General features: G+C 35.9%; 1 pseudogene; it reads left to right on the forward strand.

The window, feature by feature from the left end:
• On the forward strand, positions 10,613–13,289 carry PPIGP1 (peptidylprolyl isomerase G pseudogene 1; annotated as a pseudogene).

Below are 13,954 nucleotides of genomic sequence, written 5' to 3' on the forward strand. Positions count from 1 at the left end.
CCCCAAACAAAAAATATTCTTCTGTTAATAATTGCTTTTTCTCCCCTTTTCTCTCTGTCAGGGAAGGTCAGTTTATTATGGGTCATTGTGGATGCAACAAAATTAATGACAATTGATATTCGTCCTCTGCTTCTCATATTAGTGGCTCTGTATCAGCATCCACTCCCCATGCAGTGGGCATGCCCCCCTCCATCACTGTTTTCCCATCAGCTGAGGTTTTGCCTTAGCCAGTGAACTTTTAATCACTCTGAATAGCTAATCACCATAATTCCTCACTGGCAAAAGCTGCAAGTTCATCATGTGAATGGACCCAGTGTCCTTGTTAATCACAGTAATCGCTCACCACTCATGAGCTGTGAAAAGTAGTGACAAGTATCCTCATCACACTTGGTTGCTCACAATCTGAGGGAGGCTGATAGGAGTCTCATGATTCACCCAACACAGGCTGTGGGGCTAGCAATGGAATGCCTGCCAGAACTGCAAGTTTCAGATCTCTGTTTATAATTATTATTTTCCCAAGTTGGCAAATGCTCATATCTTCATCCCCGCAGTTACTGATGCTAAAGTTTCCATAGCAGGATTCCCTTGCAGACCTCTCCTTCCTTTGTGTCAAATGACCCATCTTGACTGGCATCCAGCCTCCTGAGATTCCTGGCCAGGACATGAACTTTTGGTGCAAAATTAACTAAGGGTATTTGTCTTATACTGGAATTGTTTTAATAGCAGTAAACCAGAAACCGATCCATCTGGTTTAATTATAGAAGGATTTATCCATGGGTATATCTTTTCCCCAAGGCCTAGAAATTTCACCACTCTTCAAGAGGGACATGAACTGGACTTGAAGGGCCACTAGCTGTCAAGGCAGTTATTCTGTTAATCCTGTTTCCCATGCCTTCTGTATAGACTCCTCTGGATCTCTATGTGTTCTACTATTTCATTTTTCTATCTTGTTTTGCTTTGTTATCACCTCTTTCAGCTTTGTTTTGGAACACAGACCATAAATGGCTTTCCCAAAAGGGCAGTCTTGGTGTACATGTCCTGAGCAGTCCAGGGTTTTCTGCTAACAGAATATACTTTCTGATTTCTAGTTCCACATTCTCATCCCACAGCTCTTCAAACTGTTCTATTACGAACTCCACACTGTAACTTCTCCCAGATTTGCATGTCAAGGTATCAGCAGACTAAAGGGCTTCATTTTCATCAAAATTAATTTTCTTAAAACAGCTATTTTAAGGTGTCAAAAATAAACATTTCTGCTATTATTATACCATTTCAAAAAGTCTTTTAAAATTGTCTGAATGGGCCAAAGACCATCACAGACTCTTCACCCAAAAATATATACAAATAACAAATAACATATGAAAAGATGCTTTACATCATATGTTAGCAGGAAAATGCAAATTAAAACAACAAGATACTGCTACACACTTATTAGAATGGCCAATATGTGGGACACTGACAACACCAAATGCTGGCAAGGCTATGGAGCAACAGGATCTCTTATATATTGCTGATAGAAAAGTGTTACAGCCACATTGGAAGACATTTTGTCAGTCTCTTATGAAACTAAACATACTCTTATACAATCTGCCAATTGACCTCCTCTATATTTACCCAAGAGTTGAAAGCTTATGTCCACACAAAACTTATGTCTTACACATAGATACTTTTAGCAGCTTTATTCATAATTACCAAAACCCAGAAGCAGCTAAAATGTCCTTCAGTAGGTGAATGGATAAATTAACTGTGGTATATCCAGACAATAGAGTATTACTCCGGGCTAAAAAGAAATGAGCTATCAAGCCATGAAAAGATAAGAAGGAAACTTTAAAGGGTCTTACTAAATGAAATAAGCCAACCTGAAAATATTACATACTGTATGATTGCAGCTATATGACTTTCTTTAAAAGGCAAAACTATGCAGAGAGTAAAAAGGTCAGTGATTGCAAGGGTTAAGTAGGGAGAGAATAGAAGATTTTAAAAATAGTGACAATATTCTGTATGACACTGTAGTGATGGCTACATGTCATTGTATAGTTGTCCAAACTCATAGAATGCACAACACAGAGTGAACCCTAATGTAAACTATGGACTTTGAATGATATTGATGTGTCAGTATAATAATGGCTCACAAATGTACCATTCTGGTGGTGGATGTAGATAATGGGGGAGGCTATGCTTGTGCTAGGGCAGATGTTATATGGGAAATATCTGCCCCTTCTTATTAATTTTGCTGTGTACCTAAAACTGCTCTGCCAAAAAAAGGCTGAAAAACCTAAAAAAAAAAGTGTCACAAGCTCATTATTTTCTTTTTCTTTTTTTTATTTTATTATTGTTATACTTTAAGTTTTAGGGTACATGTACACAATGTGCAGGTTAGTTACATATGTATACATTATTTTCATCCAGAATAGTTGCCTTGGATATTTTTGAAAGTCATCCCTCTTTCTGCATGTTCCTTTCTTTATCACTTCTCCTCTCTCCCTGTCTTAGAGAGAGAGAGAGAGAGAGACAGAGAGACAGAGAGACAGAGAGAAAGAGAGAAAGAAAGAACATATATGCACATGAGTGAATGAGAGAATCCAGATCCCTAAGAGAAATCAAAGCCCTGGGATACTGGAGTGGATTTTTTTCCCTTTACTTAAAACATTGGTTTCTCACCTCACCCCCGCTTTTGAGAACTCCGTCCCCGATTTTCCTTTGTATAACTGTCTCTTCCCCATTGTTCATATTCTTGATGGAGCTGTCAATCAAGTTGCCCTAGCCAAGAGATCAGTAAGAGAACCAAATAAGGCCAACTCATTTCCCATTTTGAGGACTCCAAATATTATAGAGTTCAGTGATGCCAGGATGAAAAGATGATTGGAGCTGATTCTTTGTAGTGTTGTCACCTTAATTGTTGATTAGTTCCTGCTGCTTGGATCTCTGCTTCTTTTTTTCCCCTAAGATTGGCTCTTTAGAGGTTTTTTAAGTTTTCAAATGATCCTATGTCCTACCACTAAAGCTGCGTTGCTTCAGTTAGCCAGAGCCAGTTTTACTGCTTGCAAACAAAACAAAGAAACACACAATTGATCTGGCTACTACGCTACAGAAAGTCTTGGTTGCACAGATTTTATGTTGCTTGATCCTATAAGCGCAGCTTCTCTGTTATGTTCCCGATGGGATGCTCAGAATTCAAGGGCAGGATACAGTGGCTTAGTGCCCTATTTATTTTAGGTAGAATTGACAGAATAGGTCACAGTGAAATTATAGCCCTATATGGTCATGGTTCTACAAACTTTGGGCTGGGTTCTGGAGATATATCTCCTAAGTTAAGTTTAATTAGCAACTACTCAATATCAATCTGCCTTTGGATATCTGGAGCATGAATCTCACAGCTTGGATTCTTCTCCGGTTTTGGTTCATTAGCAAAGATTCTGAGTTATCTGTGGTATAAAGTTCAGAAGTGTATAAGGTAAGAAGAGAGCTTTGAATCAGTTTGGTAGCTGAGGGACACAGACAGGAAAATCTAGCTTGAAAAACAATGTAGTCCCCATCATCCCTGGGTGACTTCCTAGGGCCCTCCAAGGAAACCCCATTTTGTTCTCTCCCTCTTTCCCCTACTCTTCCCCTCTCCTCTTCTCCCTTAATCCTTCTTCGTCAAGTTTTCAACTCTCCTCTCCTTCTCTTGCACATAGGTTGTACAACTATTTTCTACCCTCTTTATCTTTCTAGCTAATATTAAGCAGCATCTCTTTCTGTCAGGTGATTCTAAGCAAGGCTTTAGAATCAGACAGGATAGATATTTTATTTCACCTATGCCACTTGCTAGCTGTGTGACCAAGGGCAAGCTCCTCCCTCAGACCCAGTTTTCTCATATTCCAAATAGAAGGAATAAAGGTGTTCATGTGAGGTTTACAAGGAAAACACTTGATGTCATAACTAGCCCATGGTGGGTAACTAAAGATTGGTAAGCTTTGTCTATTCGATTTAATTTATAACTTCTATTATTATTGTTATTTTCCTACTGTTATTTTTCTTCAATTGCTTCTCATTATCAGCACCTGTTTATTGTGCTTGTCTTTGCATCCATTCACCTCTCTTCTCAGTGTTCAATGCCTTCCCTTCCCTTATCCCATGATAAGGCCACTCACAGGGAACCTAAATTATTAAAAGTTATTCCTAGAAAATTTTAGTAACAATGGAGAAATGTTAGCCTCTAGGCGAGTCTTAGTGGATTTCCCTTTACACTAGTGAAACATAATTTTAGATTATTTTAGTAATACTTTTATGGAATGTTTCCCATTTTCTAAATCTCACTTCTTGTGGTCTTTTGAGAATTCAGGTAAATTTCAAGGTAAAAATTATAAAGGAAAATATGAGCCCCTAGATATTCCAAACTAGGATGAAATCTCACACAGCATCTTCCAACAAGTTGTAAATATAGTAAGATTTTTAAAACTGAGACCACTACGGATAATAATATCTCTATGCATTTATTATAATCATAATGAATTGAAGCTAAATTATCAAACTTTTTGAAAATGCATTCTAGATATTATTTTATTAAGAGGAGAATATTCACACTTTTTTTATGTGTGTTTTTGGAGTCTTTTTAAAAAACAGTTGCATTTAATGGCGATCTTTCCCATCCCTTAAGTGTTCAATTGTTACTGTATTTGATAAGTTGGTGTTGAGAAGACTTTTATTCTTTTTACCTCAGCAATGTGTGAGAAATACTATTTGTTTAGTCAAGACAGTTTCAACTTGGCTGTTTTCCTTGACTCTGATTCCACTTTAAGATGTGTGCTCCAGTTTATGGGCAACATGCTTGCATATTTCTTACAGATGGACTAAACTTGGGAGCTTATCAATAGTTTGGACTTGGAAGTACAGTAGTTCTAATGGGAAAACCTTGCTTTGCTGAACCGTTAATGCTCAAGGTTTAAGTGTGAAAGCCCAGCTGTGCTTAATCCACTCCCCATTGCAATTTCCAACAGAAGCTTGGAACATGCTCAAAGTCAGGAGCTAAGCGGAGGCAGGGATCTAGTGACTTAAGAGGCTGAAGAGATTTTCTCTCTCTGAGTCAAAATTTTTCTCCAGACTTGTGGGATTTGACACTGGAGTGTAGCATTCCAATCTCTGTTTAATACAGGGACTTTGAGTGTATCCACATTCTCTTAGTTCTGCTTCCTTCTTACCATGTATGACAATGAATTCTATCTGATGGGACCCCAGGCACATTGCCTGATCACCCTCCTCAAATAATGCTTGACAGTTCAGTTCTCTGGAGTTTGCATTCAGATCTGTTTTACATCAAAATGCATTTCTCTGACATGTGTAATCCTCTCTAAGCTTGAGAAGAGAGCTTGGTTTCTGTTCTTCTCCCTAGGATTTCTTTCTGTGCATGTGAGGGGATGGGAGATATAATGTATCTTACTCTGAAGATGAGAATTGGAGAAATATTGAGGAGACTAAACAATGTTATTAGGAGGCAGGAATAAAAGTAAAGAAAAAGTGATATAGGAAGGTAAGTGGAGAAAATAAATTTAAATATAGAAACAGTATAGAAAAGGAAATAAAATTTCCTCACTGCTGTGGTTAAGTGTAGGTCCTAATAAAAGGGGTAAAATTGGCTGCAATTTTTTGTTGAAATCTCAACTTGTTTATAAAACACAAACTCATCAAAAAATAGTGAAGATGTTCTGTGTAAATAAAGGGAAAAGTGTATACCTCTCTTCCTCTTTCCCCAACCCTATCCTTATTCCACTTCCAGAGGTGAGCGATGTTAATATGATGTATGTTCTTTTTTTTTTTAATTTTATTATTATTATACTTTAAGTTTTAGGGTACACGTGCACAACGTGCAGGTTTGTTACATATGTATACATGTGCCATGTTGGTGTGTTGCACCCATTAACTCGTCATTTAGCATTAGGTATATCGCCTAATGCTATCCCTCCCCCCTCCCCCCACCACACAACAGGTGAGTGAAAGAACATACATCATCTTTCACTCACCTGTTGTGTTATTTGGGTGAGCCACTGAACTCCTTTAAGCCTTACTTTTCATATCTGTAAACTGGGGATAGCACTAGTTACTTATAGCATTGTTGAGAGGATTAAAATAGGTAAGTCATTTGTATAAATATGTATGGCACAAAGTAAGAGCTCAATGAATGTTGGATATTATTTTTCCAGGCACATATAAGTTTATGTATTTTATAACAAATGAAATGGTCCTCATTATGCATACTGTGATGTAAATTACTATCTTTAAAGATATGCTGGAAACATTTAAAAATATTTATATATATCTTATTTTATTTAAATGCATGCATAAGATCACATCATAGTTAACAATGTTTTATTTTGGCTTGCTTTCTGTCTTCATGCCTTCTCTATCCATATTACCTATCTTGAGGAAATCCACATAAAGGCTTAGTAGGTATGTGTCTATATTTTCCTTCAAGCTCATATAATCATAGACAAAAACACATATGCATATTCATAGAATTTTGTCATTGATTTATAAAAATAAGATTATAGTACACAAATATATTTTTACAATATTTGCAAATTATAAAATATCTTTTCCTGACCCTTCCTTTACTAATAGAGGCTGGAAAGCTTAACATTTGAAGTCACAGCGAATGTCTTTGGTGCTGAGTGGTAGGGTAGGCAAATGTCCCTGTGCTGGTCAACTATACCCAAGAGGAAATCTATTGCAAGGATTTCTAGGAAAGTTTTCTTTCTTAATAAATGGGATAAATTTGGCTGTTGTTGTTGTTTTCCCTTGATCCATCTTGGAAAGTGGAAATAAAACCTGAAATGACAATATCATCTTTGGACCATGATGGGACACATGTGAGGATAAAAGCTGTAATGTTAATGGTGGCATGATGGAAATATCAGGCTGAGTGCCTGATAGCATTTTCAGTGGCTGAATTAATACCAGCAACTGCTGACCTTGGGATTTCCAAAATAAACCCCAATTTGCTTAAACCATGATCAGTGAGTTTTCTTTTCTTTACAGTCAAACACATTCTCGACTGATATGCAGACTTTTCTGGATCTCGTTTTCGTCAGTGAAATCTTGTTGAAGTTCTAATTGATTACTTATCATGGTAGCATACTATTTTATGGTGTGAATGGTTACAATTTTGCCAGCCTTTCCTCAATTGGTGAATGTTTTTTGTTCAGTGTTTTTTTATCTTTTTTCCCCCCACTTCAAACAATGTTGCATCAAATATCATTAAAAATATATCTTTATGTAGTGAAACTTTTATTTTTATGGAACAAATTCCCAAGAGTAGAATTACTGAGTCAAGAGTATATATATTTTTAATTGTAATAAATGTTTCTAGAATGTATTCCAAAAAACAGGAATAATTTACATTTTATCAGAAGTGTGCAAGAATAAACTTTTCCTTCCCAAGTCTACACTAGCAAGAATTGTTATTGGTCTTTTGCCAGTCTAATGTTTGTAAAATCATAACTCATTGTTGGATTAGTTGTTCACACGTTCCTGACTGGTAGAGATTTTAAGCCTTTTTCTACATTCTATTGGCTATTTGGATTTGTCCTTTGTGAATTCCTATTCACAATCTCACATACTTTTCTCTTGGTAATTTTCCGTCTTGTCAATGTAAAAGAGATTAAAAATACATTACAGGCACCCATTTTCACTTTTCAGCACTGGAATTTGATTATAGTGTTTGCTATGGACTGAATGTTTTCATCCGTCCAGATTCCTAGGTTGAAACCAAATCTCTAAGGTGGTGATATTGGAAGATGAGCCCTTTGGGAAGGTATCAAGTCCCATTAAGAATGGGATTTGTTCCCTTATAAAAGAGAACCCAGAGAGCTTGTTCATCCCTTCCACCATGTGATTATACAGTGAAAACATGGCCCTCTGTGAACTAGGACGTAGGCCTTCACCAAACACCAAATCCACCAGTGCCGTGATCTTGGTCTTCCCAGCCTCCAGAACTGTAAGAAATAAATTTCTGTTGTTTATAAGGCACCCAGTCTCTGGTATTCTGTTATAGTAGCCTGAATGGACTAAGACAATGTCTTTTGCTATAAATGTTTGAACTTTTATATGGCTAGAAATGGTTTTCAGAACACTTTATTTTCTAGTTTTAGATAAAGGAATCTGCTTTACCATGAGAATATGTATGAAGTCACCTACTTTTTCTTGCAGAATTTGTTTTTCTTTTTTCCCCCTCTGTTATATCTTTACCTTGTAATTGTAAATTAGAAGTTCATTTTGTATATGTATTTTATTAATTTCTTCACAAAAACCCAACTCCTGGATTCGTTGATCTTTTGAATGGCTTTGTGTGTCTCGATTTCTTTCAGTTCAGCTCTGGTTTTTGTTATTTTTCATTTTCTGCTAGCTTTGGGGTTGATGTGCTCTTGCTTTTCAAATTCTTTCAGTTGTGAAGTTGTGAATTTGAGATCTTTCTAACTTTTTGATGTGGGCATTTAGTGCTATGAATTTCCCTTTTAACACCACCTTAGCTGTGTCCCAGAGATTCTGGTATGTTGTATCTTTGTTTCATTATTTTCAAAGGACTTTGTGATTTCTGCCTTAATTTCATTATTTACCCAAAAGTCATTCAGGAACATGCTTAATTTCCATATAATTGCATGGTTTTGAGTGATTTTTTTGTCTTGACTTCTATTTTTATTGTGTTGTGACCTGAGAGTGTTTGGTATGATTTCAGTTCTTTTGCATTTGCTGAGAATGTTTTTATGTCCAGTTATGTGGTCGATTTTAGAGTATGTGCCATGTAGATCCTTTAAATCAGATCCTTTAATTCAGAATTTGTTTGTTATCTGTGTTGATTGTTTTGTTTGTTGAAGAATGTTCTCTTGGATGAAAATATCCCATTTTGTTTATCTATTATGAACCCCAAATATCTGAGACAGGTCTCAGTTAATTTAGAAAGTTTATTTTGCCAAGGTTGATGATGTGTGCCTGTGACTTAGCTTCAGGAGGTCCTAACAACATGTGTCCAAGGTGGTCAGAGCACAGCTTGGTTTTATACATTTTAGGGAAACATGAGACATCAATCAACATATGCAAGATGAACATTGGGTCGGTCTGGAAAGACAGGACAACTGGAAGCAGGGGTGGGGCTTCCAGGTCACAGGTAGGTGAGAGACAAATGGTTGCATACTTTGAGTTTCTGATTAGCCTTTCCAACGGAGGCAATCAGATGTGCATTTATCTCAGTGAGCAGAAAGATGACTAAATAGAATGGGAAGGCAGGTTTGCCTTATGTAGTTCCCATCTTGACTTTTCCCTTTAGCTTAGTGATTTTGGGGCCCTAAGATTTATTTTCTTTTCACAATATGGATCTGTTGAGAGACATTTTAATTATCTCCAATGATTAGCAATTACAAATAAATTGGCTATGAACATTTATGTATGATGTTTTGTGTAAATATATTTTTAATTCTGTTAACTATTTAGAAGTAGAATGGTTGGGCAGTACAGTAAGTTTATGTTTAACTTTTAGGAGACTGCCAAACTGATATCCAAGTGGTTGTACTATTTTATGTTCCTACCAGCTGTGTTGTAAGAGTTCTATTTGTTCTACATCCTCACCATTGCATGCTATTTTCAGGCTTTTTAATTTTAGCTATTCTAATGGTTAATGCTATTCCAGCTCCCTTGCCTGCTTTGTGTTTCTGCCAAATACAAGTGGTAGTGGCTGACTCTCTTACTATGGCAAGCTCCAAATGAATAGGCTTTGGTTGTTCTCATTTGAGTAGTCTTCATCATTTATTTAGAATTTTCATTAATTATTACAAAGTGTTTGCATTTCTGTATAAATTTTAAAATCCATTTTTCTATTTCTATGGAAATCCTGTTTAAATTTTGATTAGAAATTCATTAAAGTTATAGATTTTCTGTCTTTTTAAAAATTTTTAAATTTTTACCTTTCTTCCATTTCTGAGGCTCCTTTTATTTGTGTTTCAAATGCAAATATTTTCCACATATATGCTTACAATTTTTATATCCCCCTTGATGAATTGACCGCTTTATAGTTATATAAGCACCTTATATCTTTTTATAGTTTTTGTCTTCAAATCTACTTTGTCTGATAAGTAGATATACTGCTTTTTTTTCGGTTTCCATTTGCTTGAATTGTCTTTTTCCATTTCTTTATTTTTAGCCCATCTGTGTCTTCATACATGAAGTAAATTTCCTGTAGGTAGCATATAGTTGGGTCTTGTGTGTGTGTGTGTTTTATTCAGACTCTTCATGTCTTTTGATTAGATAATTTATAATTTACCCCATTTCTATTCAGTGTTATTATTGATAGTCAAGGACTTGCTACTGCCATTTTATTTGTTTTCTGGTTGTTTTGTTGATCCTCTCTTTCTTTTATCCTTTCCTCCTGACTTCCTTTGTATAAAAGTAATTTTTTTCTGACAGTATGTTTTAATTTCTTGCTTTTTATTTTGTGTGTATTATATGTTTTTGTTTTGTGGTTAATGTGAAGCTTGCAAATAACATCTTATAATCAATTATTTTAAACTGATGACAACTCTGATTACAAAGAATAGAAAAAACAAGCAAATAAAGAAAAAACTAAGAAAAAAGAAACTCTAAAATTAGGACTCAACTGTCGAGGAGGGAGGCAGTTAGCGGGCTTTAGCTCCTTTTCTGGAGGGGGTAGATATGAAGCGGTTTAAAGGATTGGACCAAAAGAAGAGGAAACTCTACCAGTGCAAGAGCCAAGGGATCAGTTGTCCTTGTTTTTTTTTTTTTGGTCTTGCCTTCATTTGAAGATTAAGTATTGGAGCCATGGGAATAAAGATTCAATGTCCTCGATTTTTTTTTTTTTGACATTGCCATTAACAACCTGCTGGAAGAGTTGTCTTTGAATTATTTTCTGATGTGTGCCCCAAAACACGTGAGAAGTTTAGTTGTCTTTGTACAGGTGAAAGGGGGACAGGGAAATCAACTCAGAGCCATTACATTGTAAGAGTTGTCTCTTTCAGAGTTGTCAAGGATTTTATGGTTTAAGGTGCTGACTTCAGTGAAGGAAATGGACGAGGAGGGGAATCTATCTAAGAAGAATTTTTTGAAGATGAGAATTTTGCTGTTAAAAACAACAAAGAATTTCTCTTGTCAATGGCCAACAGAAGGAAGGATACAAATGGTTTACAGTTCTTCATAACAATGAAACCAACTCTTCATTTAGATGGGCATCATGTTGTTTTTGGGCAAGTAATCTCTAGCCAAGAAGTTGTGAGAGAGATAGAAAACCACAAGATGGATGCCGCTAGCAAAGCATTTACAGAGGTACAGATACTCAGTTGTGGAGAGCTGATTCCCAAATCTAAAGTTAAGAAAGAAGAAAAGAAAATGTATAAATCATCATCATCTTCCTCCTCATGATCTAGTGACTAAGATAGCTCAAATGATTCTCAGTTCTCACCTGATTCCTGTGATTCCGAAAATGCTTCTGAAGAGAAATCAAAGAAAAGAGGAAAAAACTTAGGAAAAATTCCCAAAAACACAAGAAGGAAAAGAAGAAGTGAAAGAAAAGCAAGAAGAGTGAATCTAGTAAGAGTGAAGCTGAAAATCTTAGAGCACAACCCCAGTCTACTGTCCATCCAGAAAAGATCCCTCCTATACCTGAAAATAGATTTCCTGATGAGAAAAAGTCCTCCTATAGCTGATGCAATGGAAAGGAAAAGCCAGAGAGAGAGAGAAAAAGAGAAAGAGAATGTAATCTATCTAACTCCCAGCCTGCTTCATACCAGAGACGACTTTTAGTTACTAGATCTGGCAGGAGAATTAAAGGAAGAGGATCAAGGTGCTATCAAACTCCTTCCAGATCCAGATCAAGGGATTGTTTCAGACTTAGTGAGACTCCTGCACATTGGAGGCAAGAGATGCCGAGAGCTCAAAGGATGAGGGTATCAAGTGGTGAAAGATGGATCAAAGGGGATAAGAGTGAGTTGAATGAAATAAAAGAAAATCAGAGAAGTCTAGTTAGAGTAAAAGAGAGAAAAATAACTAACCACAGGAATGTATCTGAGAGTCCAAACAGAAAAAATGAAAAGGAAAAGAAAGTTAAAGACTGTAAATCTAACAGCAAAGAGAGACATCTGAAGAAATTCAAAAAAAGATGATAAATACAATACGAACAAAGTGAAGAAAAGGGCCAAATCTAAAATTAAGAGTAAGAGCAAAAAGAAATCAAAGAGTAAAGAAGGAGATTCAAGACATAATAGACATGAAGAAAAGAGGATGAGGTCAAGGAGCAAAGGAAGGGATCATGAGAATGTTAAAGAAAAAGAAAAGGAGCTTGATTCAAAAGGAAACGATCAGGAAAGGGGTAGAAGTAAAGAGAAGTCTAAACAGTTAGAATCAAAGAGTAATGAGCATGATCATAGTAAAACTAAGGAAAAGGATAGATGTGCACAATCCAGGAGTAGAGAATGTGATATAACTGAAGGTAAACACAGTTATAATAGCAGAACAGAACAGCAAAGCAGAAGTAGGGACAGAAGCAGAAGAGTGTGATCAAGAAGCCATGACAGAGATTGCAGCAGAAGCAAGGAGCACCATAGATACAGAGGAAAGGAATACAGGAGGAGAGGACAGTCACAAAGCCGAGGGAGAAGAACACCACCAGGAAGATCAAGAAGTAGAGATAGGGGTAGAAGGAGGAGAGACTCACGGAGCTCAGAGACAGAAGAAAGTAAAAACAGAAACAAAGAAAAACACAGAAACCAAGAAAGTAAGAGTTCACACAGAAAGAAAATTCTGAGAGTGAGAAAAGAATGTACTGTAAAAGTCATGATCATAATAGCTCAAATAATAGCAGGGGAAAAAAAGGCTGATATAGATAAAAGTCTCTTCTCAAAAATAAAACAAAGCAGTCAGAACAATGAATTAAAGTCCTCCACATTGAAAAATAAGGAGGATGAGAAGATCAGATCCTCAGTGGAAAAAGAAAACCAAGAATCAAAGGGTCAAGAAAGTGACCATGTACGTGAAAGAAAAAAAATTTGATTATGAATCAAGCCCTGAAACATATGAAGACAAAAGTGGATGAGTGAGTTATATAAACTTATTTCCGTTCTGTTTTGAATTTTAAGTTTGAGAGACTTGCTAGTGAATCTTCTTTATGTTGTTTTCCTTTTCATTGTTTTTGGGTTGTTTTATGCTTGCCCCTTTTTTTAAAATGTGGATTTCATTGAGTTGATCTTTTGATAATCTGCAATCTGGATAACTCGTGCTGCTAAAGTTTTAATAAACTTGAAATGCGAAAAACAAAAAAAAACAAAACAAAAAACTCTACAATTTAACTCCATCCCTCTCAATTTTTGAATTGTTGTTGTCTCTATTTATATCTATCATATGATCTAGCAATCCCACTGCTGCATATATACCCAAAAGAAAGAAAACTGGGATATCAAAGAGATACATGCACACCCATGTTTATTGCAGTACTATTCACAATAGCCAAGATATGGAATCAACCTGTGTGTCCATTAACAGATGAATGGATAAAGAAAATGTGGTACATACCCACAATGGAATATTATTGAGCCATAAAAAATGAAATCCTGTCATTTGCAGCAACATGGATAGATCTGGAGAACCTTATGTTAAGTGAAATAAGAAAGGTGCAGAAAGACAACTTTGTGTGTTCTCACTCAAATGTGGGAGCTAAAAAAGAAATTCAACTCATGGAGATAGAGAGAAGAATTATGGTTACCAAAGGCTAGAAAGGTAATAGGGAGAGGTGGGTAAAGAGGGAATGGCTAAAGTGTACAAAAATAGACTCAAATAGAATAAGATCTAGTTTTAGGTAGCACAATAGATCTTATTGTTAAAAATATTTTACTGTACACTTCAAAATAACTAAAAGAGTGGGACTGAAATGTTATTAACACTAAGAAATGATAAATCCTTGAAGTGATGAATATCCTGATCA

This window comes from Homo sapiens, chromosome 5 (assembly GCF_000001405.40).
Source record: "Homo sapiens chromosome 5, GRCh38.p14 Primary Assembly".
Classification (NCBI taxonomy): domain Eukaryota; kingdom Metazoa; phylum Chordata; class Mammalia; order Primates; family Hominidae; genus Homo; species Homo sapiens.